General features: G+C 43.7%; 2 protein-coding genes across 21 annotated transcripts in view, besides 3 other annotated features; both read left to right on the forward strand.

Moving 5' to 3' along the window:
* Nucleotides 1–8,102, forward strand: part of STIM1 (stromal interaction molecule 1) — a 238,607-nt gene extending 230,505 nt beyond the window's left edge. For 13 of the 19 annotated variants that reach the window (NR_168437.1, NR_168436.1, NR_168438.1 and 10 more), the window contains 2 exons: nt 1,369–1,435; nt 6,174–8,100. Coding sequence is in view for 16 of the 19 variants with exons in the window: in NM_001382575.1 (NP_001369504.1) it covers nt 1,369–1,435; nt 6,174–6,690 (584 nt within the window). In the remaining 3 variants the exon portion in view is untranslated. Of the gene's footprint in view, nt 1–1,368; nt 1,754–3,593; nt 3,631–6,173 lie in introns of all 19 variants that reach the window. The other 6 variants (NM_001382578.1, NM_001382580.1, NM_001382579.1 and 3 more) reach the window with 3 other exon arrangements.
* Nucleotides 6,351–6,645: a silencer, noted in NCBI's record as "tiled region #9588; K562 Repressive non-DNase unmatched - State 7:EnhWF". NCBI's record gives its function as "represses a minimal TATA promoter and a strong SV40 promoter by Sharpr-MPRA in K562 cells {active_cell/tissue: K562}" and the evidence as "EXISTENCE:reporter gene assay evidence [ECO:0000049][PMID:27701403]".
* Nucleotides 9,321–9,390: an enhancer, noted in NCBI's record as "active region_4320". NCBI's record gives its function as "activates an Ori minimal core promoter by ATAC-STARR-seq in GM12878 lymphoblastoid cells {active_cell/tissue: GM12878}" and the evidence as "EXISTENCE:reporter gene assay evidence [ECO:0000049][PMID:35858748]".
* Nucleotides 9,451–9,920: an enhancer, noted in NCBI's record as "active region_4321". NCBI's record gives its function as "activates an Ori minimal core promoter by ATAC-STARR-seq in GM12878 lymphoblastoid cells {active_cell/tissue: GM12878}" and the evidence as "EXISTENCE:reporter gene assay evidence [ECO:0000049][PMID:35858748]".
* Nucleotides 9,577–25,122, forward strand: part of RRM1 (ribonucleotide reductase catalytic subunit M1) — a 44,248-nt gene continuing 28,702 nt past the window's right edge. Inside the window, exons 1-5 of one of the 2 annotated variants that reach the window (NM_001033.5) lie at nt 9,691–9,923; nt 16,885–16,973; nt 20,938–21,115; nt 22,327–22,427; nt 24,536–24,595. In NM_001033.5, coding sequence (NP_001024.1) covers nt 9,905–9,923; nt 16,885–16,973; nt 20,938–21,115; nt 22,327–22,427; nt 24,536–24,595 — 447 coding nt within the window. In that variant the 5' untranslated portion in view covers nt 9,691–9,904. Of the gene's footprint in view, nt 9,924–16,884; nt 16,974–20,937; nt 21,116–22,326; nt 22,428–24,535; nt 24,596–25,122 lie in introns of both variants that reach the window. The other variant, NM_001318064.1, reaches the window with a different exon arrangement.

Below are 25,122 nucleotides of genomic sequence, written 5' to 3' on the forward strand. Positions count from 1 at the left end.
TCTTCCCAGTTTCCCCCTTCTTTCTCCCCCTTCCCCCCCCTATTCCAGACTTCCTCATCCTCTTCAGCCTCTCTTTCGTACCTTGAAAGCTACCAGCATAGAAGCCCTACCTCCTGAACTCTCCATCACTATGGAATTATGCTGTCTCCCTGGTGGTCCTTCCAAGGCTTCGCTCACCCTTGTAACCTGGCCCTTTCTCTCATCTTTAGGTAGAATGCAGGGAAGCTTATCTATCAGGCTAGAGGAGAAAGAATAAAGGTCTGCACTCTCTTTTAGCTGGGAGTGAGCCCAAAGGGGGATGCACTAGCATATTCCTAAGTTACTTGGTGCCCATGTATCCCTTCACTGGGCATAGTGGCCATTATCTCCAGGACCCCGATTTGCAGCCTGATCCAAGAGCTGGTTCTTTGTTGTTTATGTGCTTATTGGAAAGCGAAAAAGAGTGAACATTAGCATAAAAAGCATCCATAGTCCCACCATATTTGAGCACCTTCTCTATCACTCTTTTCTGTGAAATTTTTTATGTGGTTAAGATAATGATAGCCACTGCCACTTATTGAGTGCCATGACCTGTTTCAGGTGCCTTAAAGACATTATTGTGAAGTCTCAGAAGAACCCTGCAGGATTTTAGAAATTAGGAATTAAAATGGGGAAGTCAGCTGCTCAAGGTCACAGCTAGAAGTGAAAGTCCTGGTTTCAACCTCTAGTGTTTGGTATTCCAAAGCTCAAGGCTAGTACCTATAATTCTGTATCCTTTTTCCCCTCTGAACATTTTAATAGGCATTTTTCCATTTTCTTCAAGTCTTTTTATAAGCATCATTTTTAATAGCTCTATAGTCTCCCAGAAACTGGATATGTTATCATTTTCCCATTGTTCATTATTTATGTTTACTTTCATACAACTATTAATAAAAAGTAAACAATTATGTTTACTTCTCATTTAATTATTAATAATGATGAACATGTTTATGTATAAGTCCTTGTCTATGCTGTGAATTATTTCCTGAGGTTGGCTTTCTGAAAAGGCTGGTTCTTAGTGCTCTCCCGGACCTTATCCCAAGCCCCTATCCTACCCTTCCTTGCTTGTGTCTACCCACTAACTGCCTTGCCACTTCCCTTTATAGTGATATTGCCCATAGGTCTCCTTCTATTGGAATTGCCACTAAAACTGACCTGGGCACTTCATCTTCAATTTCCCATCCTTTTAGGACCCCTGGTGGGAGGTTTCTGGGAGGAGGTGCCCCATTCTCCAGATTGGCATTAGAGGCCCAGGGTGGTCTCCAGCAAGCATTTATTCATGGGCACCTCCTTACCTGCCAGCCCAAAGTGGGCTGGCCCCTCCTGACACTTTCTTTATTCTCCTTGCAGCCCCTAGCCTGCAGAGCAGTGTTCGGCAGCGCCTGACGGAGCCACAGCATGGCCTGGGATCTCAGAGGTTGGTAGAGGGCGAGGCTGGCCACTTCTTGACAAGCCGGGTATCTCTGCGGCGAATGCGCAGCCTTTCATCTGGACAGTCTTTCAGTTCTGAAGGCTACGGGACCAGCTCTCCATCTGCCTCTGCTGCTGCTTCTTGCTCCTCTTCCATCACCACCATCACCACTACCACCACCACCACCACCACCTTCACCACCGTCCATGTCCACCCTGTTTATTACCACCACAGCACTTCCTATTTCCTCCAGATGGAGCCCTACCCTGACACACCCCCTTCTGACAGCACCGCTGTGATGCCTGGGCATTCAGAGAGCTTGGGGTATCAGCTGTCTCTCTTTTCTTTCTTCCCTTCCTTCCCTTTCTGCTGCTTTTACCTTGGTTTCTGCCTGCCAGCTGCTGCTTGATCAACTCTGGGGGTGTGTGCAGTGGGGAATCTTCTTATCCTGTTTGTTCCCAGCTCTGGGATTCCTTTTTAAGGTCAGCCTACTTTCTCCCCTTCTGTGTTTGGGGTTTGCTGACTCTAAAAATGAGTAACGACTTTCTTCCCTCATGACCCTATAGCACTTTTGCCTAAACTATGCACTTTCACATTAGTTATCTCACTTGGGCCCTCACTTCCTTTACTCCTTCAACAAACATTTACTAATGCCTACTCTGTGCCAGGCTCTGCTGGGCATAGGGGTTCACTGGTGATAAGATACAATCCCAGCCATCAAGAACTACAATCTTGTCTGAGAGAGATACATAAATAATTATGGAAAAATTTATTAAGTGCTATGGGGGTGTTGAGGAAGGAGTGACTAACAGTGTGTACCTGGGTGGAATGCTTCACCAAAGAGATGAATTTGTGCTAACATCCTGTGTGAAGGGAAAGGAGAAAGAGTATTCTAGGCAGAGGAAACACTGTATGCAGAGACATGGAGATTCCAGAGAATACAATATATTTGTGGTTAGAACACTGGATATGTGTTGGTGGGAAGGAGAAACAGGTGAGGCTAGAATGACGAAGGCTCCGAAAGGGAAGGGTTTTGGCCTCTACCCGTTAGGAGATGGAGAACTACAAAAGGGTTTCTAAGAGAAAGTGAATCAGTCACATTTGCATTTTAGAAATAACATTTTAGTGGCTGTGTGAAGGAAGGAAGTGGAAGACTACAGGAATTTGGAAAACATTCCAGTAGACCACTAGGGGAGGTAATGAGGACTTGGGATAAAAAGACATGATAAATTTGGTAACTGGCTACAGTGGTGAAGGAAAGGGAGGATCTAGTATGACACTCAGGTTTATAGCTTGAGTGACTGAGTGGACATAACGTCCTTCATGGAATTCGGGAACCAAGATAGCGGACATAGGTTTTGGGGTTTTGGACAAGAAGAGTTTATAGGTGGGGCAGGAATTAAAATACACATTTTAAGAACAGTAAGTTAAGGTTCTAAAAGGGTAAGTAATTCCCTCCAGGTCTCATAGCTAGTTGAGAGCAGAGCACAGATTAGAACTTGGCTTTCCATTCCAGAATACTCCGTTGGATATTTTTGTCTTTTCACAAGGTCTCAAAAAGTGTACTGGAAAATAATTGGTGAAAGGTTTTTCTTCCACAGCTTTGTCTGGCAGCTGCAGAGACTATTCTTGCTAATACCCAAGATGGTAGACTAGAATCAGAGATAGTAGCCTTGACCTTGCCTGGAACAAGCTTAGGAGACCTTCAGAAAGTCCTTCCCCTCTGGAAGTACTTCTCATCTCTGAAATGGTGACCACAGCCCAGTCCTGGCCTCTGGGCTGCAGTCTGCTTACTCTGTTGCTTTTTTTTAGTTCTATCTCACTCTGGATACCCATTTATTCAGCTCTGCCCCTTAAACCTCTGGATAGTTATGCTTGAGGGCTGTTCCTTTCTCTTGCACAAAGGGATTGCCCTTACTAGGATTATTACTCAGCAGAGCCACTCATATCCATTCTCATTCTCATTTTCATCCAAAAGCCTAGGAAGGGAGACTGCTCCTTCCAGTACAGATGGAGAGGATCAAATTGGGTTGGGGACACTAAGGGATGCTGTGAATTCCATGCTCCAAGGTTTAAGCTGAGGGCAGTGGGGAGGAAGGGCGGAGAGGTACCTGTATCCACCTGGCCTGTTCACTACTTAATTTTCTTTTGCACCACGCACCAGAGGATCATCTCTAAAGGCAAACAGGCTCTCTAGTAAGGTCAGTAGCTTGGGATGGGAGTCCGAGGCAGCCCAGCCTTTGGGGAGGGACCTCTGGCCTGATTGTTCTCAGTGATTCAGGGAGGGAAGGTGAGCCTGCCTCACTGGGCCTTTTCCCTCCTATATCTCCCTAGGCTTCCTCCCAGGTTCTTATCTTGCTTTGGCAGTCCCAACTTTTAGCTGATGAGAGAGGCATAGAAGGACAGGAATCAGGCTGGGTGCAGTGGCTCACACCTGTAATCCTAGCACTTTGGGAGGCCGAGAGCGGAGGACTGCTTAAGCCCAGGAGTTTGAGACCAGCCTGGGAAACAAAGTGAGACCCTGTCTCTACAAAAAAAAAATCAAAAATTTAGTTGGGCATGGTGGCACATGCCTGTGGTCCCAGCTACATAGGAGGATCACTTGAGCCTGGGAGGTCAAGGCTGCAGTGAGCCGAGATCGCGCCATTGCACTCCAGCCTGGGCAACAGAGCAAGACCCTGTCAATAAATAAATAAATAAAAAGATGGATAGGAATCAAGATGAAATAGGGGTCTGGTCCAGGAGAAGTGAGGCTGGGAGGGCCCTAACCTCCTGATTTCTCCTCCTTGGTGTTAGAGAGGGTAGGATCCCAGAATCTTCACTTCCTCAGCTTAGAGGACCCTTTTTCTCAGTGTGATTGCTTCCCAGAACTTCCTTGGCACCTTGCTCATTGGTTTATAATAGTGTTTGGAGAAGGCAAGATATGGAGAGGATCATCTTGGGGCTTAGAGAAACAAGGACAAGTTTAGAAGCAAGGACAGTGTCAGATATATGAAACCAAATATGAGACTGAATATTTGTAAATACTAGAATATGTGGCTAAAACAGTATTTGTAGAATGGAAGCTGAGTTGGAATTGTTCTCTGCTGCCTGCTGAGTCCAGGAAGGTACTGGCCCATGGGGTGGCTACTTAGTTATTTGCTTCCAACTGAGAATTAAATCTACAATAGCTATGAGCCAACCCCCTGCTTTTGCCTGTTTCAGGGGCCTGGTACCCTTCCTAACTTCTGACCCTCAGCCTCTTTCTTTCTAGGTCCTATGGTGGTCTCCTTTTCCATTCATGACTCTTCCCCTTTGGCTAGCAGACGTTTAAACATTTCCCTTAGGTCTCTCCTCTGCTTTTGCTGAGGTTCTCAGGCCTCTAGGAAGGCAGAAGGAGGATTCAGGATTGGCAGAGAGAGCACCTCCATATCTACCTTTTTGTCTGTAGAGCAGGAGGAGTGGCATCTGGAATTGATTCATGGTCTTAGCAACCACCAGCTCCTTAAAGGGTCTCAAGTTCCTAGACTAGCCTGTGTGTGTGCATGTCCAGTGTGCGGTGGCATGTCTCCATAACTCAGCCTTGCAAAGAAGCCTCTTGCGACCGGCCCGTACATAGGCCTTTCAGCTTGGCAGGCCTCATCATCTTCATTCCCACAATAATTTCTACATTTCCAAGTGCTTTGCCAGCATATTTGATCCTCCAAACAGTCTTGTAAGATAAATTGAATTGGTATTATCTTCATTAGGCCAAAGTTAAGGACTAGCAAGTTTAGATGACTTGACTTGTCCAAGATCACACAGGAGTCCAGACCTCTTCTGAACCACTGCTCTTTAAAGGCCAACATCCTGTCTTTCTATGCCTCCCTACATTCTCCGTCAGCAGAGTTCTGAAAGAGACCCCACCCTTCCTGCCGCACCACAGACTTTGGTTTGAACTCTGCAATACCTATCTATGACCTCCTTTGAATCCTATGAGATGGTTAGAAGAGGCAGCATCCTGGCCTTTTGGGGTGGGTGAAGGATTATTTGCAAGGCTGTTCTAACCTTCTCATCTCCAGCCTGGGTCAGGTCCACTGACTGCATGTGCCCTGTTCCTTGGGGCCTGGCCCAGACTGGATAATATCCTAAGGTGTGACAGGAGTAAGTGGGGAAGGAAGGCATGGAAAATGGTGACTCGGAGCAGGCTGTAGGTTCTGTGTTAGCTTGAGTCCCAGGAAATACAGCCAGCTATGAGAAGGCAGAGATTTTATTGAGGATGCCGCCTGTGGAATTTAAGCCTATGGCTGCACCAGTTCAGAGCCAGAGCATTCACCACTGGTGGGGCCCAGGTATTGGAAAACCATTTGCCAGACAGATGATGGTATGATGACATTTGTTTTTGTTTCTTATCTGTTTCTTCCCTCCCTATCACTTTTCCCTTTCTTGTCTTTCTCTCTTGGCCCTTCTTTCTACCTGCTTATCCTTTTGCTTTTCTTCCTCTACAATTCTACTCTCCTTTTCCTGTCTCTTTTCCAATCTATCCTCATTCCCTCCTCCTGCCTCCTCTCTTATCCTATACTTATGGCTGCTCAACTTCTGTCTATTCCTCTTTCCTCTCTCCTTCCCACCTGCCTGTTCATCCTATTTCTCTCTCCTGCCGCTCTATCCCCATTTTCCTACCCTGTCCTTGTCTTCTCGTGTTGTCCCTCTCTCCTCTTCGCCTTTCCCCTATCACCTCATCCAATATATGTCCCTTTCTTCCTCTCTGCCCCATGTCTTGCAGGGATTTGACCCATTCCGATTCGGAGTCCTCCCTCCACATGAGTGACCGCCAGCGTGTGGCCCCCAAACCTCCTCAGATGAGCCGTGCTGCAGACGAGGCTCTCAATGCCATGACTTCCAATGGCAGCCACCGGCTGATCGAGGGGGTCCACCCAGGGTCTCTGGTGGAGAAACTGCCTGACAGCCCTGCCCTGGCCAAGAAGGCATTACTGGCGCTGAACCATGGGCTGGACAAGGCCCACAGCCTGATGGAGCTGAGCCCCTCAGCCCCACCTGGTGGCTCTCCACATTTGGATTCTTCCCGTTCTCACAGCCCCAGCTCCCCAGACCCAGACACACCATCTCCAGTTGGGGACAGCCGAGCCCTGCAAGCCAGCCGAAACACACGCATTCCCCACCTGGCTGGCAAGAAGGCTGTGGCTGAGGAGGATAATGGCTCTATTGGCGAGGAAACAGACTCCAGCCCAGGCCGGAAGAAGTTTCCCCTCAAAATCTTTAAGAAGCCTCTTAAGAAGTAGGCAGGATGGGGTGGCAGTAAAGGGACAGCTTGTCCTTCCCTGGGTGTTCTGTCTCTCCTTCCCTCCCTTCCTTCAAGATAACTGGCCCCAAGAGTGGGGCATGGGAAGGGCTGGTCCAGGGGTCTGGGCACTGTACATACCTGCCCCCTCATCCTTGGGTCCTTCATTATTATTTATTAACTGACCACCATGGCCTGCCTGCCCTGCCTCCGTCCCAACCATGGGCTGCTGCTGTCACTCCCTCTCCACTTCAGTGCATGTCTTAGTTGCTGTTCCCTCAGCTCCCAGCTCCACCTCTGGGGTTCAGCTTCTGTCTCTGCTGTCCCAGTTTTGAGGTTTGGTTTCTTGTTTCTGTCTCTTGCTTTCGGGCTCCTCCCTCCCACCACTCCCCAACTTCCCCTAGCAGTTGCAGGGAAGATAGGACGAGTAGCTTCTGACATGTGTGCCTCAGATCTGTTCCACCCCACTCACAGTGGTTCTGTTTGCTCCAGACTGGGGCTAGGGCCTAATCTTTGAAGTTTGTTCTTTGGTATTGATGTGGGTCAGAAGGAGCCTCATCCTAATCTCACTCAGGCCTCCAGGGATCCATGGGGGAGTGAAACCAATTCTCAGAGAACAACCCACCAGAGACTTTTAAAGAGAGGCCAGGCTTGGGAATGGGTTGGGAGAGGCATCTGTTCATTGGAGCATGAGTGGATGCCAGAACTGTAGGTTATAAGGCAGTCACTTTTTCTCTCTACTCCCACCCACACCTGCCTCCCTCTTACCCCTGCTCCCCCACACTGCAGGAGGATTTGTCTCTAAGAGGTGCTGCCCCAAAGCTCCCCAAGCATCAATACTCCTAGGGCTCAGGACAAGTGGCTCCCCTGGCCAGGAGAGCCACAGCCATGATACAGGGCTCTTATGGAGCCCTGGAGTTGTTGGGCAAGGATGCTGTCATTTTTTGAACCAAAAGACAAACAGGTTAAAAGGAAAAAAAGTAATCTGAATTTCCCAAGTGCCTACGCTGCATATTCCCCTTGTTAGATCCCATTTTCATGTTACTTTGTAGCCTTGGCCAGAGGCTCAAAAAGGACACAACCAGTTTGGGGAAGGGGTGGCTAAGGAAGATGGTATAGGTGAAGGCGGCTGTGTGACCACTTTCCCCCACCCTTCCCACCCTCTAGACAACTCTCTCCCTTACCTGTTTTTGCTATGGCTGTAAAGGTATTTTTCCTCTGCCCCACTCCCTGCCATACCTTTATCCTGGGATCCTATTTTGGGCCTGGGGTGGGTATACCTGGGGCTGGTCTTAGGAGGGTGCTAGGCTGCAGACTGCCTTGTACTCCCTGGACACCCTCAAATGGGGTTTTCTGTGTTATTTCATAAAATTCTTTGAAGTCCAATAAAGCATGTAGGAGATTTTAACCACTGCTGGCTTTGACTCTCATTGTGTTCTCTGTGCTGTGGCATGATGGGATAAAGAGACAATCTTTCCTTTGCCCAGGGAAAATGAAACTTGAATGCACATGCCCAGAAGCTCTGTGGGCAGGGTTACCAGATAAATGCAGGATGACCAGTTAAATGTGAATTTCAGATAAACAGTTTTTAAAGTATAATTTTCTCTCATGCAGTATCTGGGACACATTTTTATTTGCTAAATTGGGAAACCCTATGTCTGGGTAAACTTGACCCTATCTATCCTATAACTTCACTTACGACTTTTAAAAAACATATCTATTTAATTTTTCTTTCTTTTTTTTTGTTTTTTTTGAGACGGCGTCTCACTCTCTTGCCTAGGCTAGGGTGCAATGGCGCGATCTTGGCTCACTGCAACCTCTGCCTCCAGCGTTCAAGCGATTCTTCTGCCTCAGCCTCCTGAGTAGCTGGGATTACAGGCGCGTGCTACCATGCCTGGCTACTTTTTGTATTTTTAGCAGCGGGGGGGTTTCACCACGTTGGTTAGGCTGGTCTCGAACTCCTGACCTCGTGATCTGCCCGCCTTGGCCTCCCATAGTGCTGGGATTACAGGAGTGAAGCACCGCGCTGGCCTACTTTTTCTATTTTTTGTAGAAATGGGGTCTCACTATGTTGCCCAGGCTTATCTCAACACCTGGCCTCACATGATGCTCCCGCCTTAGCCTCCCAAAATGCTGCAATTACAGGCTCACTTACGACTTTCCATGATTTTTGAAATTACTTCACAGGGAGCCTGGGCAGCTTCTGGAGGGCAGTGAGAAACCAACGAAAAGGCTTTAGGGAAAAGATGCCACAGATGAAATTTCATAAAGATCGCTTTGGGTAGCCCAAATCAGAAGCTTCTACACCAGCCTTACATATTACGGTTCTCATCTATTCTTATTCTCCACTCTAAGTCACCAAGTCCATCCTACCTCCACAAGGCAAATACCCTGTCTCTGCCACCATCCACTGAAGAACCCTAAAAGCAAATGGGTACTGACCCTGCCCTGCTTAAAATTCTCTCAGGGCTCTGATTTGCGTCAGGATAAAATCCAAACGCCATCGGCCTTGCGCGGTTTTCTTCCAGTTCCAGAGTGTCAGTCCTCTGGCCGATCTAAAAGCCCTGGGGCTCCAAGCTGCCCACGGCTGTGGAGCCTGGGCTGGAGCCCACAGCGGACGGCAGTGTTAGTATTATTATAATAAATGTCAGAGCAAGAAAAACGTTCCCGCCGGTTAGGTTTTGTTATTTCAAAAATAAATTAACCGCCTTTCCTCCGGCGGAGACGCGCAGGTGAGAGGGCGGCGCCTGACCCAGCGGGCTCTAGGTGCTACGCCAGGGCCCCGAGGGTCCCGAACTCGGCTTGCCCACACAAAACATGGTAGCAGGAGAGCAGCATTTCCGCCGGGCATGTCCATATCCAATGGGGCCCATGGGAGAGGCGTAGTCTTCTGGGTCTTGCCCAGACTCAACATGGCGGCTACACGTCGCCTGTCAGTCTGTGAAGCCTACCCCGGGCGTGGGCCGCAGCGTCGAGTAACGTCATTCGAACCCCGTCGCGCCCCTTTGTGCGTCACGGGTGGCGGGCGCGGGAAGGGGATTTGGATTGTTGCGCCTCTGCTCTGAAGAAAGTGCTGTCTGGCTCCAACTCCAGTTCTTTCCCCTGAGCAGCGCCTGGAACCTAACCCTTCCCACTCTGTCACCTTCTCGATCCCGCCGGCGCTTTAGAGCCGCAGTCCAGTCTTGGATCCTTCAGAGCCTCAGCCACTAGCTGCGATGCATGTGATCAAGCGAGGTGAGGGGGGGACGAGGTGGGCGAGAAGGAAGGTGAGGGGATGCGGGCTGCCGCCGCCGGAGCTGATGCCCAGACCGCCCGCCCGCCTTCGCTGCTTCCCGCCTTTCCCGCATTTCCCGCCGCGGCCTTCCGCCCTGTCAGCCCGCTCGGCCTTCTGTCTTCAGTCAGCCTGCCCCGAACCTCCTTCGGGCCTTCAGGCTGCGCCCCCTCGGCTTTGTCATCCTGCCGCCTTTCAAAAGGATAACACTTACCCCGTATCGAGTAGTGACTGCGTACGCCGAGCACTTGCCAGGCACTATTTTATTCCTCCCTGCAAGCCTCTGAGAGATGATTAGCTTATTACAGATGAGGAAACTGACGCTCAGAGCGAGGTGTCGCCGACTGACCCAAAGTCACCCATAGGTGACAATACGGTTTGATTTGAAAACCGTGGGGTTGGTGAGCTGTCTTAGGCACAGGGTCGGGGGGCAGCTAGGAAAGAAGGAGGGGGCCTCTCTACCCTCCGTAGGCACTTGTCAGTTTACTGATCTCTTTTGTGGGGTGAGGATAGGAGTGTGGCGTGGAAAAAACAGATCCCAGACAGACAGCACCCTCGAGTTCCTTTCCCTTCATGGGAAGAGATGCTGAATCAGAGAAGGGTGGCTGAGACATCTTCTGACAAGATGGGGACTGGGAAGAGTCAGGAACTCGTATTCTTTCTCAACAGTTCTTTTTCATTAGACTTGCCAAGTGCCCGCTTTGTGCCCAGCCCTTTGCTTGGCTTTGTGAGATTGTAGGAGGAGACAGTCCCTGCCTTGGGAACAGGCTTCATCGGGTTGGAAAAACAAGAGCAACATACTTTTAACAACCGCATGAGATACGTATGAACAAGTTTTGAGTTGAACCTACTTGCCTTTGTTAAAGCAATACAATGATTTCAAAATTGTAGGCACTTAGTAAATACTGGTTAATCGACTGGTTGTTTCTATTTTGTCCTCTAGGCTGTGAACATTTCAAAGATGGAGACTTGTTTGAGACAGAGTCTTGCTCTGTCACCCAGGATGGAATGCAGTGGTGTAATCATAGCTTACTGTAACCTTGAAGTCCTGGGCTCAAGCGATGCTCTTGCCTCAGCCTCTCAAGTAGCTGGGACTATAGGCATGCACCACCATGAGTGGCTAATTTTTAAAAATTTCTGGTAGTAAAGGAGTCTTGCTGTGTTTCCCAGTCTGGCCTTGAATTCCTGGCCTCAAACCATCCTCCCTTCCTTGGCTTCCCAAAGTGCTGGGAATACAAGCAAGATGGAGACTTTTCTGTTCACGTTTAGCACAGGACCTGACATGAACAGATTCTTAAAGAATGAATGAAAATAGTTGTATCAAAATGTAGGACACGATGAATGCTGTGAATAAGCAGGTAGTTGATTTGGTTTAACTACAGCCAATGTCCAGATTGGTTTAACTACAGACAAGAGTTGGAAAGGTGGACAGTAGTGGCCTTTCTTGTTTTTGGTATCTTGAGAACATCATTCTGTGAATTTTCCTAGCTCACATTTTAGCTGACCAAAGAGCAAAATAACATAGTGCACTTTTATTGATCCATTCATAAGAGTGAGAGCTGAGCATCTATTTTTGTATTTTTATTTTTTTACATTATTATTTATTTGTATTTTTTTAGAGAAGGAGTCTCGCTATGTTGCCCAGGCTTGTCTTGAACTCCTGGGCTCAAGCATTCTTCCCACTTCAGCCTCCCAAAGTGCTTGGATTACAGTGCTGGGAGCCACCGCACCTGGCTTGAGCATCTATTTTTTAAATCTTTAGATATGGGAGAGATGTTTAGGATGGTCTATGATAAGTCAGTAACAAAGATGAATTGAAAATGTATGGACTTAGATGACCAGAATGGGTAAAATTCAACCCTGTGTTGAATTTTGAACTTTTAGAGTCTACTTCTAAATACTTTCGTTTAAAAAGTGCTACCTTGGCCTGGCGTGGCAGGGCATGGTGGCTCACGCCTGTAATCCCAGCACTTTGGGAGGCTGAGGTGGGTGGATCATTTGAGGTGTGGAGTTTGAGACCAGCTGGGCCAACATGGTGGAACCCCGTCTCTACTAAAAACACAAAAGTTAGCCGGACGGTAGTGGTTTGCACCTGTAATCCCAGCTACTCAGGAGGCTGAGGCAGGAGAATCGCTTGAGCCTGGGAGGCAGAGGTTGCTGAAATCGTGCCATTGCACTCCAGTCTAGGCGACAGAGTGACACTCTGTCTCAAAAAAAAAAAAAAAAAAAAAAACCACAAAGTGCTAGCTATAACTAGCTCTAAAAAGCAGAGCTTATTTTCTCATTCCTTCATAGAGCACAATTTGATCCAGATGGTTCATGCTGTAGATTCTGCCATTGTAGCATTCAGCAAGACTTAATATACAACATGTACTTAGATTTGTTTGTTTCTTTTTTTTTTTATATTTCTATGTTTCTATATTTTAATGTTTTTTAATATGCATAGGGTTTTTGGTTTTCTGGACTTTTTTTGTACCCCCTTATTTTTGGCATGTCAGTGGAATAGCAGACTAACTCCTACAGTTTTTGTTAATTTTCTTTGAGATGGGGTCTTGCTCTGTCATCCAGGCTGGAGTGCAGTGGTGTGATCTCAGCTCACTGCAGTGTCTGCCTCCTGGGTTCAAGAGATTCTCCTGCCTCAGCCTCCTCAGTAGCTGGGACTACAGATGTGTGCCACCACGCCTGGCTAGTTTTTGTTATTTTTAATAACAAGGGCAACTGGAAGTTGACTTTGAAGTACCTACTGAATATGCTAATGTCTTGCTAAACACTGTGAGGGCAGTAATGGAGAAGGCAGCTCTATCTTCAAAGAACTTAAAATTGTTAGGGATTTAGGAACAATCCATATGAAAATTATTAGATAGAAGAGAATAGTAGATGAGTTTTTTTCATCTGCTATCTTGAGCTATTTTTCCTAATGGGAGAGTATCATTCCTCAAGGAGATTATGGTTAAAAAAATAAACATTGAGAACCATTGCAGTAAATGACAAAGTAGCTAACTGAGTTGTAAACTGTTTTGGAATTTAGTGTAGTATTTTCAAAACTTTGGATTGTAACTCACAGTAAAAAACAAAACATTTTACAGACATGTGTATATATGTGGATACACATAAAATGATACAAAAGTTTACGAAATAATGTCTTTGAAAGCATCCATTTGCACTCTAATCTTTCTTTTATTCCAGATTCTTTCCCTATCCCTGCCTCCCTCCCTCCCTTCCTTCCTCCCTTTCTTCCTCCCTCCCTTCCTTCCCTCCCTCCTTGCTTCCTTCCTTCCTTTCTCCCTCCCTTCTTTCCTGCCCTCCTCCCTCCCTCCCCTCCCTCTCCCCCTCCCTCCGTCCCTTCCTCCTTCCTTCCTTCCTTCCTTCCTATTCCATTCACAGCCTGCTAATATTATTTTACAACTCTGTGGATACCGTGCTGTTCACCGGGATTGCAGTGATGAGTAGGCAGACATGGTTCCAGCTTCCAAAGATCCTACAATCAATTGAGAAAGATAGACAAATAAAGAAGTAATATGATAAAATATGATAAATACTCTGATAGGTAAAGTATAGGCAGTAGAGGCCATTCATTCAGTTATTCATAAAGCATTTATTCAGCACCTCTTTGTGCTAGGAACCGTTGTAGGCATTAGAGATTCTGCAGTGAACAAAGCTAAATTACATTTCTCATTGAGTTGACTTCTTGGTGTGGGTGGGAGTGGTAAGTGTATATAAGAAATAAGAAGTAAACATAATAATCAGTTAATTTCAGATACTGATTAATGAGATGATAGTAAAACAGGATCATGTGATAAAGATGAATGAGAAAATAACCTTGGATTGGGTAGCCAGGAAAGGCTTCTCTGAGAAGCCAACATTTGAGCTGAACCCTAAATAGTATTAAGAGCTAGTAATGTGAGATCTGTGGCCTGAACATTCTCGGCAGAGGGAATTAGAAAGTTTGTATCCTGTGGAAAAGGCACGCATCCTTGGTCTTACAGGATTAGGGAAGTCTTCCTGAAGAGAGAAGAATGAAAGACAGTTTATAGCCAAGAGGAAATCACACTAGTATGCTAGAGGATTTTTTAATTTTATTTTTTATTTTTTGAGACGGAGTCTTGCTCTGTTGCCCAGGCTGGAGTGCAGTGGTGTGATCTTGGCTTACTGCAACCTCTGCTTCCCAGGTTCAGGCAATTCTGCCTCAGCCTCCCGAGTAGCTGGGATTACAGCATACCCAGCTAATTTTTTTTTTTTTTTTTTTGTATTTTTAGTAGAGATGGGGTTTCACCATATTGGCTAGACTGGTCTCGAACTCCTGACCTCAGGTGATCCGCCTGCTTTGGCCTCCCAAAGTGCTAGGAATACAGGCTGAGCCACCATGCCCTGCTGGCTAGAGGATTTTAAAAGAGGAAAAGGTCAGTGTGAGTTAAAAGTGGTTGAGGCAGGTTTTATGGAGGTGTGAGATTTGGAGGGTGAGTAGGAGTTAGATGTATGGAAAGGTGGAAGAGGAACCTTTAGGCAGAGTAAGGTATAAGCAATGATGTGGATATGGGAATGGGAAGCCCTCTTGGGACTTATATTTCACAGGGAACAGTTGAAGAGATCTGGGGCCAAACTAAGAAAGGCTTTGCTTGAGAGAAGAGGATAATGTAGGCAGTGAGAAGCAGGGATTAGTGATGTGATAAAATCAACATCTGGCTTGAAAAACTAACCAAGTGGAATGACAGAATAGAGAACTGTGTGTCATTGGACCTTTAGATCTTTAGTCTGCCTCCTATTTTCAAGTGTGAGTTAAGATAATTACCAATGCACTTTTTTTTTTTTGTCAGTTTCCTGATTGACTTCAGAACTTCTGGCAGTTGTAGAATTTTCTTTTTGCTAAGTTGCTTTCCCCCCCCACTGCATGTATAATTGCAGAACGCTAATGTTGCTTTGCAGTTACCTGCCTGCTTAGTTATCCAATTGCTAGAGCACTGAGGTTTCAGTCCCAGTGCCAGCCAGTTAATTTACCCCATTTCAGAGTTAAATGCTGCAGATGTGAGCCTGATGAGAAAATTATCACAATGGTGATCAGAAAGAGAGGGGCTAACATATCAGTGTAGAAGAAAAAGCAACTTGTTCTAGTGATAATGGGTTAATAGTGATGTCTTATTGTTCATTTATTCTTCATCAAATGTTTGAGAACTTGCCTTGTTCTAGGCACTAAATTTGAGAATACAGATGTGAATCAGAGGGCCAAATAAATGTAAACATATTTAGCATGTTTCTTATTGGTTACTTCAGGTTGAGTATCCCTTATTCAAAATGCTTGGGCCCAGAAGTGTTTCGGATTTTGGATTTGTTTCAGATTTTGGAATATTCGCATTATACTTACTGGTTGGGCATCCCTAATCAGAAAATCCAAAATCTGAAATGGTCCAAGGAACATTTTCTTTGAACATTGTGTTGGCATTGAAAAAGTTTTGGATTTTGGAGTGTTTTGGATTTTGGAATTTTGGATTAAGGATACTCAGCCTATAGTTACAATGGATTGTAGGTGCACAAAAGAGACAAAAACTAAATCAGTGTGAGACACTAACATTTATTGAGTGCCTATTGTGTATCACATACTGTGATTTTTTTTTCCCCCATAGGAGCAGCTTTATTTTATAACGAGGTATAGTTGTAACTATGCCAAAGTTGTTACAACAAAAGCACTTTTTACCTTATCTAATTTTATTGTCACAGTAAACTGATTAGGCAAGTAAAATAGATATAATAATTAACCCCTTTCTACAAATGAAGATCTGTGAAATGACTGATTGTGTTTTGTGGCTTGTCTAAGGTTAAGGCTGTTTGGTGGTTGGATATATTCACTATTCCTGGTAAGAATAAATAAAGGTCGGATGAGCTACTATTTGAGGTTAAACTAAGAGTAGTAAGACTTTTTTGTCTAGAAGGACAAAGATATAATCTAAGTCCAAAATCATGAAAAATATTAGGTAAAATATATAGTATGTCAGATGGGGTAAGTGCAATGGAGAAAAAGCACAGAAGGGGAAGGGGGATAAGAAGAGCAAGGGTCCTATTTGGGGCATTGCAATTTAAAATGGAATCATCAGGGAAAGCCACATTGAGAAGGTGATGACATTGAGCAAAAGACCTAAAGGAGATATATAGCAAGAAGGCCAAGTTGTCAAGGTACAATAGGAAGGAAGGTGGGAGAGTTGGAGGTGAAATTGGGAAGTGGGTGCACAGGACAAGTGGTATAGGATTCTGTGGATTTTTTTTTTTTTTTAGTTGGAGTTTCATTCTTGTTGTCCAGGCTGGAATGCAATGGCGTGATCTCAGCTCACTGCAACCTCCGCCTCCTGGGTTCAAACAATTCTCCTGCCTTAGCCTCCCGAATAGCTGGGATTATAGGCCCCTGCCACCATGCCCAGCTAATTTTTTGTATTTTTAGTAGAGACGGGGTTTCACCATATTGATCAGGCTGATCTCGAACTCCTGACCTCCAGTGATCCACACCCCCCCCCGCTCCCTTGGCCTCCCAAAGTGCTGGGATTACAGGTGTGAGCCACTAGGCCTGGCCTGTGGATTGTTATAACAATTTTGACTTTTATTCTGGAGATCATAAGCCACTATTAGGAGTTTTGAAGGAGGTAATGATATGATTCTGAGTTTAACTTTTAAAGGGTAATTTTGGCTGCCATGTGGGATGGGGGAAAAATTTAGGAAATTATCCGTAAACGTCTGTCTGTATAGAATTCATACTCTTTGAAGGTGACATCAGAGAAGACAATCTCTTCATGAATCTTTTGAGGGGGCCTCAATCTTTTCTGTGAAATAGCACTTCATGTTGGTCAATTTACATGTTAATTACATTTGATTCTTTGACATTGTAGTCTTAATAATTGCTAACATGAATTTAATAATTGCTAACATGATTTGATTCTTTAGATGGCCGCCAAGAACGAGTCATGTTTGACAAAATTACATCTCGAATCCAGAAGCTTTGTTATGGACTCAATATGGATTTTGTTGATCCTGTAAGTAAATATGGTTTTTATCTTGGGTTCCTTCTTTCATGTGTTTCTTTCCATTTGTCTCTTATCCCTGGACCTTCATTCACCTGATATACTTTGGTATTCTGGCTATGCCCTTCGATATAAAATTTGAATTCATTGCTTAAAACATTTTTTTTTCCTTAATTTTGGTTCTGTCCTGTGAGTTCTCACTTTTCAGAGAACTATGAATGTGAGTAAAGAGGAAAATTTGATATTAACATTTAATATCAGATATTTCCTTGAGTAAATTGTTTTATTCATTAGTGGAAAAGCCTAGGCCAGGCGCCGTGGCTCACGCCTGTAATCCCAGCACTTTGGGAGGCTGAGGTGGGCAGATCACCTGAGGTCAGGAGTTCAAGACCAGCCTGGCCAACATGGTGAAACCCCGTCTCTACTAAAAATGCAAAAATTAGCCGGGCCTGGTGGTGGGCGCCTGTAATCCCAGCTACTTGGGAGGCAGGAGAATCACTTGAACCTGGGAGGCAGAGGTTGCAGTGAGCCGAGATCGTGCCACTGCACTCCAGCCTGGGCGACAGAGCGAGACTCCCTCTCAAAAAAAAAAAAAAAAGGGAAGCCTAGAGTAAAGCTTGTTTTGGAATTGTGGTTATTTAGGTAGGGACTGGTTTAAAATTTGTTTTTTGTTATTTATGTAAAAAGATTTAAGTAATATAAAGTAGATTTCATGGACAATATTTAAGTCAAGAACAAACTATTCATAAACCAGTTGCTCTGCTTTTCTCCTTATCCTTTATAACTTCTGTATTCTAGACTCTCATCATCAGTTATCTGGACTGTTTTCTGTGGTCTCTGCAGTGTCCTGGACTTCCTCTAATCTTACCCTCTTCAAACTCGTCTTCCACCTGACTTCTAAAATGATCTTCCTTAAATGAGAATCTCTAAGAACTCTTTTTTTCAAATCCACCCATATTTCCGTCTCCTTATTTAGGTATCTTATCCGCACTGCTAAGGTATCTTAGGTATCTTATCCGTAAAACCTGTGCTCATCTCATAGCTTTAATCATATAGTATGGAAATTAATTATGGATCTTTGTCCTCCCCTAGAATTGAGGATGGGCTGTGTATCTTATTCTTGTGATATCCTCAGTGCTTGACATGTATCTAATTAGCCACTTGACCAAAGTAAGTTTGGTCAAGAGAAAATGATTTTATGTATCTTGAAAATATGTTTATTGTAAATTCTCTTTTATATTGAGGACTTAGGCAATAATTAGAATAGTAGAATGTTAGAGTTGGAATGAACTTAAGAGTCCATCCCATTTCATCTTTGGTTTATAGATAAGAAAGTTCCAAAGAGAGAGGGGAGTGACTTAAGTTAGTGGGAGTGTAGGGAGAAGCACCTAGGTCTCTTGACTCCTACATGTTCTATTGCCTCATGCAGTAGTACATTTTAGAGCGCAAGAATGTTGCAGCATCCTCAAACTTCCTAGGGTAGATTCTGTTGAAAAACTGTCGGTGCACATCTGTAATCCCAGCACTTTGGGAGACTGAGGTAGGCAGATTGCTTGGGCTCAGGAGTTTGAGACCAGCCTGGGCAACATGGTGAAACTGCCCAGGTGCAGTGGCTCAATCTTGGCCCACTGCAGCCTCCACCCCTGGGGATCAAATGATTCTTGTGCCTCAGCCTCCCTCAGCTGGGATTACAGGCATGTGCCACCACGCTATTTTTTTTTTTTTTTTTTTGTATTTTTAGTAGAGACAGGGTTTTGCTATGTTGGCCAGGCTCGTCTTGAACTCCTGACCTCAAGTTATCTGTCCGCCTTGGCCTCCCAAAGTGCTGGGATTACAGGTGTGAGCCACACTGTGCCTGCCCTCAACCCTGTTTCTACAAAAAAAAAAAAAAAAAAAAAATTGGTTGGGTGTGGTGGCGCATACCAGTAGTCCCAGCTACTTGGTGGTGGGAGGATCGCTTGAGCCCTGGAGGTTGAGGTTGCTGTGAGCTGAGATTGTGCCACTGTACTCCAGCACAGGCCACAGAATGAGACCCTGTCTCAAAAAGAAAAAAAGAAAAACTGTGTGCTGTTAGATCTGGCACAGTTAGCACACAGATGGTATTTTATTCTGAGTTCTAATTGTTTGCCTTATTGCTCTAGAAACTATTTAGAAGACTTCACTGCTCTTATACTGAACACACCTTATCTGCTGGATCTGGGAAGAAAGTGATCAGGAGCAACTTGGGCTTAGCTATATTATAATTAGAATAGATTGCAGACTGTTAAAATAGTTACACACGTATGTGTCTTTTTTTGAGGGGAGTATGCATTGTTCAGCTGGGAAACACATTTATTTTCTGTTGGATTAAGCGGTTTCTTAAAGATTCAATAAATAAACCACTCACAACTTAGAATTTGTTTTTCTTAAAAATGTATGCTAATACCCTGTGCATTACCTGTCTTAAAAACTGGAACTTATAATGTGGCCTTGAAAACAGTGAAATGCAGTGAGGTTTAATGGGATTGGGGCCAGAAGACTTGTATAATAATATAACCTTGGGCAAGTCTCAGTAACCTGAGCCTCAGGTTCTTCATGTAAAATAGGTATAGTAATAATCATCTCACAAAGTGATTGTGAAATGTCAGAGATTATCAAAGTTGATAATTACTTATCAACTTTGGTTGAGAATCATTTGAACCTCGGGGGCGGAGGTTGCACTTTGTAATTTGTGAAGTGCTAAAGAAAGTTGTCATTAAATTATCATAATTCAGCCCCAGACCTAATTTATACTTCTGTCTCCTTTAATTGGCCTGATTAAAGTTTGATTCATTTGCTTTTCTGTACTTACCTTATGTGGAATTTGGGAAAAGTAAGTATGGAGCTGGAGCCCTGATCACTTAGGGAGAATCTGAATGAAAAATGGGGAAACCCTTATATAGAATCAGTCTGTTGGGAGAATTTGAATGAAAAATAGGGAAATATAGAATCATTAGTATGTTTTCAGCTATTTCCCTGTGAGACTAATCGATTTAAAGGCTATACTTAGATTTTTTTTAATGACACTTTCATTTTATATGTAGTATACATTTTCTGATAGTTCTGCTGGATTATGCATTCTCATTACTAAGTTTCCCACTGCCCACCATTCTGAAAGATAAATTTTCAGAGAAGTAAGTTGTCTTGTTCTTTGTTTGAGACAGGGTCTCATTGTGTCGCCCAGGCTGGAGTGCAGTGCCATGATCATAGATAGCTCAGTGCAGTCTTGACTTCCTCAGCACAAGCAATCCTCCCACCTCAGCTTACCCTGTAGCTGCAACCACAGTCACTTACCACCATGACTGGCTAATTTTTTTATTTTTAGTAGGGATGGGGTCTCATTATATTGCTCAGGTTTGTCCCAAACTCCTGGGCTCAAGCGAGCCTCCTACCTTGGCGTCCCAAAGTGTTGGGATTACAGGTGTGAGCCACTGTGCCCAACCTGTCGTTTTTATTGTGATGTGAATTTGATTGTTTTCTTTTTTCTTTCCTTTTTTTTTTTTTTTTTTTTGAGACAGGGTCTCACTCTGCCACCCAGGCTGGAGTGCAGTGGCATAATCACAGCTCATTGCAGCCTCAGCTTCCCGAGTAGCTGGGATCACAGGTGTGTACCACCACACCCAGCTAATTTTTTTTATTATCTGTGGAGATTGGGGGCGGGGCAGGGTGGTCTTCCTAGCTTGCCCAGGCTGGTCTCGAACTCCTGGACTCAAGCCATTCTCCCACATTGGCTTCCCAAAGTGCTGTGATTATGGGTGTGAGCCACAACGCCTGGCTTTTTTTTTTAATAGTGTCGTGAACTGCTAAGCTTAAGTGATCTCCTCACCTCAGCCACTGAGTAGCTGGGACTATAGGCATGTACTACCACACCTGGCCATGATGGTTTTCTTAATTACTCTTTTAAGGAAGCTATTGTTTCTTGGGAAAGCTCAAGTAATTCTTGGTTTTATTTTTGTAGGCTCAGATCACCATGAAAGTAATCCAAGGCTTGTACAGTGGGGTCACCACAGTGGAACTAGATACTTTGGCTGCTGAAACAGCTGCAACCTTGACTACTAAGCACCCTGACTATGCTATCCTGGCAGCCAGGATCGCTGTCTCTAACTTGCACAAAGAAACAAAGAAAGTGTTCAGTGGTAAGTCTGGGGTGAAAAAGTAAAAATTTAGTACTCTCAGAAAAGTAATAAGGGTACTAGAAATAAATCTTGACTGTTTAAAGAAGCAAATATGGCTAGATGGGGTGGCTTACACCTCGAATCCCAGCAATTTGGGAGGCCAAGGCAGGCAAATCGCTTGAGTCCAGGAGTTTGAGACCAGCCTGGGCAATGTGGCGAAACCCCATCTCTACGTTTTAAGAAAAATCTAAAATTATAAAATAGACTAGGTGCAGTGGCTCACGCCTGTAATCCCAGTGCTTTGGGAGGCTGAGGCAGGTGGATCGCTGAGGTCAGGAGTTTGAGACCAGCCTGGCCAACATGGCGAAACCCTTTCTCTACTAAAAATACAAAAAATTAGCTGGGCGTGGTGGTGGGGGCCTGTAATCCCAGCTACTGGGGAGGCTGAGGCAGGAGAATTGCTTGAACCCGGGAGGCGGAGGTTGCAGTGAGCTGAGACTGTGCCACTGCACTCCTGCCTGGGCAACAGAGTGAGACTCCGTCTCATAAATAAATAAATAAATAAATAAATAGCAAATATGTAAATTAGTGGGAAAGAGCAGACTACAATTTCGTATTTCTCCATGCTGCCTATCTGCTGCATAAAAAGGTTGATGGATCTTTGTTCTTTTTTTCATTTTCTCTTTTTAAAATTTTTTTATTTTTTTTGAGATAAAGTTTTGCTCTTATCGCCTAGGCTGGAGTGCAATGGTGTGATTTCGGCTCACTGCAACCTCCGCCTCCCGGGTTCAAGTGATTCTCCTGCCTCAGCCTCCCGAGTAGTTGGGACTACAGGCTCCCATCACCACGCCCGGCTAATTTTTTGTATTTTTAGTAGAGACGGGTTTCACCGTGTTAGCCAGGATGGTCTCAATCTCCTGACCTCGTGATCCACCCGCCTCGGCCTCCCAAAGTCCTGGGATTACAGGCGTGAGCCACCGCGCCCGGCCCAGGAATCTATTTTAAACTACAAGAACTTATAATCACTTTAACTCTAGAAGATTGTTTCCTTAAATGAGGCATTACATATTTCTTCAACATATATGTGTTTATTGAGCACTTTATATGCTAGGCATTGAGGTGGGTTGAGATGACAAAAAGGGTTGAGAACCACTGTTTTCAACTATTACCTAAAGATTGAATTAGCTGTTAAGTGGTCTTGATATATTTTCATTTTTTGTTGTATTTTTTAGATGTGATGGAAGACCTCTATAACTACATAAATCCACATAATGGCAAACACTCTCCCATGGTGGCCAAGTCAACATTGGATATTGTTCTGGCCAATAAAGATGTATGTATAACACTTATCTGGTGGAAATTTTTTGAGAGTCTTTTTTAATAATGCACACATTTTAGAAAATTTAAACACTGCAAAAGATACAGGTAAATACTAATTCTGTTTCCTACCCTGATTCCTGATTTTCCTCTCTAGAAACAACTTTATCATTTTAAAATGTATTTTTCCAGAGCTATTTTGTACATACGTGTGTGCATACATGTGTATGTGTGTACATACATATTTTTCTTCTCAGTGGTACTGTACTGTGCATACAGTTTTCATTGATACTTTCTTCACTTGTAAGTATATCTTGTTTGTTCTATATCAGCCTTTATGAATTTACCCTTTTTTATAACAGTTGTATAACGTTCCATTTTGTAGATATATTGTCATTGTATGTATGTGTAAGAATTCCTTTAGTGATCAATATTTGTTTTTCATCTTTTCACTGCAGTGAATATTCTTGTATGGTAGGTGTTTTGCTCATAGATGAATATATCTGTAAGATAAATCCCTTCAGTAGAATTGCTGAGCCAATGTGTATATGAATTCAAAATTTTGATAGGCATTGCCAAACTGACTCCCAAAAAGGTTGCTCAGGTAAAATTTTACAAGCTCATGCTCAGCAACTTAAAAATTATCCACTTGTGTTTGAACCTGTTTCTTAACTAGATGCCAGAGGACAGAAGGGAAAAGATGTAGCCTAGCCAGCCCTTTTACACACAGGATTTATTTACCGTGTATATCTGGACAGATTAGAGACCAGTTTTAACTTTAGGTAATATAATGATTAGGCCGGGCGCGGTAGCTCACGCCTGTAATCCCAGCACTTTGAGAGGCTGAGGCGGGTGGATCACGGGGTCAGGAGATCCAGACCATCCTGGCTAACACGGTGAAACCCCGTCTCTACTAAAAATACAAAAAATTAGCCAGGTGTGGGAGCTGGTGCCTGTAGTCCCAGCTACTCAGGAGGCTGAGGCTAGAGAATGGCGTGAACCCGGGAGGCGGAGCTTGCAGTGAGCCGAGATTGGGCCACTGCACTCCAGCCTGGGCAACAGAGTGAGACTCAGTCTCAAAAAAAAAAAAAAAAAAAAAGAATGATTAATTGACTATCTCTCTAAACATGTATCTGATGTTAAAGAGACTAGGAGAAAACTGAGTTGTTTGTGTGTTGTTAATTTGTGTAATCTCGAAGACAAGTTGAAGACAAAAATACAGCAGCAGCAACAGCAAAACCTGTGTCTAAAAATATACCTATTGATAGTCAAGTATTTCAGTTCTCTAATATTCACACTGGGCCCATACCTGCCTTTGGCAACAAAGATGACCTTAAAATTTTAAGAGAAAAGGAAAGCAAGCTTTCGTATAGGTTTTTCTAGTCCTTAGATATGGATCATTATGTAGAAACACTGTCAGTATTTTGAAAACCTGGCTCCTTTTTTTTCTCTCCAAAATGATTATTTGTACGTTATTGCTTTTATTTTCCTCTGAATGACTTTGTAGCCTACAAAAACTCTGTAACAAGGACCAGTTATGCTCTAAAATCTTACTGTTACAATAGTTCTTTGTTGGAAACTTGTTAAAGGACTATAGATTTTGAAGAGCCTCAGAATTAACATAAGCCTGCTTCCTGTCATTGTTTATTATATATACTGTTATATACAGTTTGAAGTAGGCTAGCTTTTAAAATAAATATATATATATATTAGTAAATATGTGGTACCAATACTTTTGGATTAATAGCCAATCTAAAAACATGTTTAAGGATGATAATATAGTCCCATTTATGCTCATGTTTTTTCCCTCTTTCAAAACATACTATAAACATAATAGTAAAAGTTTGGAAAATCACATTTAATCTCACAACATATATTTATGTATTATCTTCTAGTGTTTTCATATACATGTTTTTAAACCTAATTAGGATACTTAATTTATATGTATTGTTTCTTTTTTTTAGAATGTTAGATGGACTTCTATTCTACAGTAATAATGCTTAGTGTTATCTCATTGTATCCTGTGTTGATTTTAGTTCTGGAGTCAGGGCCGAGAGATAAGAGATTTTGTGAAAATAAGTAATTATTTTAATTTAATTATGGGTTCTTTTTCACCCCTATCAGCGCCTGAATTCTGCTATTATCTATGACCGAGATTTCTCTTACAATTACTTCGGCTTTAAGGTAAATAATGGGTTTCAAGTATGTGGGAATTTATACTTAAATCATGAAATAAAGGATTTTGTTTATGTTTTGGTGACAGTTATCAAGGCCATAAGTTGTTTGGAGTTGAGATGGACCTGGGGAATTAGTGGGGTTAAGGTAGCAGTGGTGGTTTGAATTAAGGCAAAGGTAGCTTATCTATTTGCAGTTTTTGAATTTTCCACATATTACTTCTGGATTACCTGAGGAGTTATGCAGATAAATTACCATAAGTATTTCATAACATTCTAAGTATTTTTGCGTTGATAGGCAGTATAGTATAGTGTAGTGACTGAGAACATGAATGTCAGTGTCCACCTGAATTCCAGTCTCTGCTCTATTTCTTATTAGCAAGTTATTTAATCTCTCTGTGCTTGTTTCCTCCATTTTAGAATGGGGAGAATATAAAATTTCAACAACAAATTTAATTAAAAAAAAATTTTTTTTTTGAGTCTGTGTCTCACTGTGTTGACTAGGCTGGAGTGCAGTGGCGCGATCTTGGCTCACTT

The sequence above is a fragment of the Homo sapiens genome, chromosome 11 (assembly GCF_000001405.40).
Source record: "Homo sapiens chromosome 11, GRCh38.p14 Primary Assembly".
NCBI classification, from domain to species: Eukaryota; Metazoa; Chordata; class Mammalia; order Primates; family Hominidae; genus Homo; species Homo sapiens.